General features: G+C 41.3%; 2 annotated features.

Moving 5' to 3' along the window:
• Positions 680-1,179: an enhancer, noted in NCBI's record as "H3K27ac hESC enhancer chr2:193795643-193796142 (GRCh37/hg19 assembly coordinates)". NCBI's record gives its function as "activates a minimal SCP1, AML or CMV promoter by ChIP-STARR-seq in naive H9 embryonic stem cells {active_cell/tissue: H9 hESC(naive)}" and the evidence as "EXISTENCE:reporter gene assay evidence [ECO:0000049][PMID:30033119]".
• Positions 1,180-1,681: an enhancer, noted in NCBI's record as "H3K27ac hESC enhancer chr2:193795141-193795642 (GRCh37/hg19 assembly coordinates)". NCBI's record gives its function as "activates a minimal SCP1, AML or CMV promoter by ChIP-STARR-seq in naive H9 embryonic stem cells {active_cell/tissue: H9 hESC(naive)}" and the evidence as "EXISTENCE:reporter gene assay evidence [ECO:0000049][PMID:30033119]".

Raw genomic sequence — 3,257 nt, 5'->3', positions numbered from 1 at the left:
GCATGGTACAAATTGTAACTCTAGGCATCTCCAAGCTCTTTTTTCTAGAATTTAACTTTTTCTCCTTCCACAGGCTGTAATTTAAACATGGATGTAATCTAGACTCAGTTATACAGTTCATGATGATGAATTTAGAGAAGTTAGAGCCAGTGAACAGAAAGGACCTGGGTCCTGCCCAGCATTACTTCTTTCAGGAGAGCTGAACAGTGAGCCTAGGCTTTGGTACTCTTATTGGAGAGAAAATTTACAGCTATGTTATTAAAGCTTTTGTATTTTGAGATCTCTTACAGTATACTAAATTTAATTCATACAAACAATAAAAATCTTATAGTGGCTGGTCATATTGTAAGTAACACAAATAAATTTAGTGCCATCAGATTTGTAGTCAAAACGCAGAATATATTAGATAAAATATATCAGTAAATACAGATTTTTAAAAATCTCTGAGTCTGTAACAATGAAAATTAAATTTGCTACATAATTAGTTACAGGTATAATTAGTATAGCCAAAATCAAAGTTTAGAGTGCAACAACAGAGACTTAAGTAATCTGTAGAGTCAAGAAGGATCTCTCTGAATAAGTGATGCTTAAAATGAATCCTAAAGGAAGACTCATAATTATCCAGGTAGAGGGGTTGAGGGAGAAAGGTGTTTCAAATATGGGGAAGAACAAGTTGTTTAATGGCTCAGAAATAAGAGAGAACATTACATATTCAGGAAATAAAATGTGTCTTAATGGTTGGAGTTAAAAGAATGAGGAGAGAGGACAAAATATTAGAGCTGATCTTAGAAGTTTGAACTGAAGAAGATGGCCGAATAGGAACAGGTCTGGTCTGCAGCTCCCAGCGTGATCGATGCAGAAGATGGGTGATTTCTGCATTTCCAACTGAGGTACCTGGTTCATCTCACTGGAACCGGTTGGACAATGGCTGTAGCCCATGGAGGGCAAGCCAAGGCAGGGCGGGGCATTGCCTTACCCAGGAAGCACTAGGGATCATGGGATTTCCCTTTCCTAGCCAAAGGAAGCTGTGACAGATGGTACCTGGAAAAATGGAACACTCCTGCCTAAATACTGTGCTTTTCCCAAGGTCTTAGCAACTGGCAGACAAGGTGATTCTCTCTTTTGCCCAGCTCAGTGGCTCCCATGCCCACAGAGCCTTGCTCACTGCTAGAACAGCAGTCTGAGATCGATCTGTGAGATGGCAGCCTGGCTGGGGGAGGAGCGTCCACCATTGCTGAGGCTTGAGTAGGTAAACAAAGTGGCCAGGAAGCTCGAACTGAGTGGAGCCCACTGCAGCTCAACAAGGCCTACTGCCTCTAGACTCCATCTCTGTGAGCAGAGCATAGCTGAACAAAAGGCAGCAGAAACTTCTGCAGACTTAAACATGCCTGTCTGACAGCTCTGAAGAGAGCAGTGGTTCTCCCAGCACAGCATTTGAGCTCTGAGAATGGACAGACTGCCTCCGCAAGTGGGTCCCAGTAGGGGCTGACAGACACCTCATATAGGCAGCTGCCTCTCTGGGACAAAGCTTCCAGAGGAAGGATCAGGCAGCAATATTTGCTGTTCTGCAATATTTGTTGTTCTGGAGCCTCTGCTGGTAATACACAGGCAAACAGGTTCTGGAGTGGAACTCCAGCAAACTCCAACAGACCTGCAGCTGAGGGACCTGACTGTTAGAAGGAAAACTAACAAATAGAAAGGAATAGCATCAACATCAACAAAAAGATCATGTACACCAAAACCCCATCTGTAGGTCACCAACATTAAAGTCCAAAGGTAGGTAAAACCACAAAGATGGGGAGAAACAAGAGCAGAAAAGCTTAAAATTCTAAAAATCAGAGCACCTCTTCTCCTCCAAAGGATCGCAGCTCCTGGCCAGCAATAGAACAAAGCTGGATGGAGAATGACTTTGACCAGTTGACAGAAGTAGGCTTCAGAAGGTCAGTAATAACAAATTTCTCCGAGCTAAAGGAGGATGCTCGAACCCATCTCAAGGAAGCTAAAAACCTTGAAAAAAGATTAGACGAATGGCTAACTAGAATAAACAGTGTAGAGAAGACCTTAAATGACCTGATGGAGCTGAAAATCATGGCACAAGAACTTTGTGACGCATGCACAAGCTTCAATAGCTGATTCAATCAAGTGGAAGAAAGGGTATCAGTGATTGAAGATCAAATTAATGAAATAAAGCAAGAAGACAAGTTTAGAGAAAAAAGAGTGAAAAGAAATGAACAAAGCCTCCAAGAAATATGGGACTATGTGAAAAGACCAAATCTACATTTGACTGGTGTACATGAAAGTGATGGGGAGAATGGAACCAAGTTGAAAAACACTCTCCAGGATATTATCCAGGAGAATTTCCCCAACATAGCAAGACAGGCCAACATTTAAATTCAGGAAATACAGACAACACCACAAAGATACTCCTCGAAAAGAGCAACCCCAAGACATATACTAGTCAGATTCACCATGGTTGAAATGAAGGAAAAAGTGTCAAGGGCAGCCAGAGAGAAAGGTCGAGTTACCGACAAAGGGAAGCCCATCAGACTAATAGCGGATCTCTCAGCAGAAACCCTACAACCCAGAAGAGAGTGGGGGACAATACTCAACATTCTTAAAGAAAATAATTTTCAACCCAGAATTTCATATCCAGCCAAACTAAGCTTCATATGTGAAGGAGAAATAAAATCCTTCACAGACAAGCAAATGCTGAGAGGTTTTGTCATCACCAGGCCTGCCTTACAAGAGCTCCTGAAGGATGCAATAAACATGGAAAGAAACAACCGGTACGAGCCACTGCAAAAACAGGCCATATTGCAAAGACCATCAATGCTATGAAGAAACTGTATCAATTAATGGGCAAAATAACCAGTGAACATCATAATGACAGGATCAAATTTACACATAATAGTATTAACTTTAAATGTAAATGGGGTAAATGCCCCAATTAAAAGACACAGACAGGCGAATTGGATAAAGAGTCAAGACCTATCAGTGTCCTATATTCAGGAGACCCATCTCACATGCCAAGATGCACATAGGCTCAAAATAAAGGGATGGAGGAAGATCCACCAAGCAAATGGAAAAAAAAAAAAAAAAGCAGGGGTTGCAATCCTAGTCTCTGATAAAACAGACTTTAAATCAACAAAGATCAAAAGAGACAAAGAAGGCCATTACATAATGGTAAAGGGATCAATTCAACAAGAAGAGCTAACTATCCTAAATATATATGCACCCAATACAGGAGCACCCAAACT

Source organism: Homo sapiens, chromosome 2 (assembly GCF_000001405.40).
Source record: "Homo sapiens chromosome 2, GRCh38.p14 Primary Assembly".
In the NCBI taxonomy this organism is placed as follows: Eukaryota; Metazoa; Chordata; class Mammalia; order Primates; family Hominidae; genus Homo; species Homo sapiens.
The sequence above is the reverse complement of the archived record's forward strand: the minus strand, read 5'-3'. Positions and strand labels throughout refer to the sequence as shown.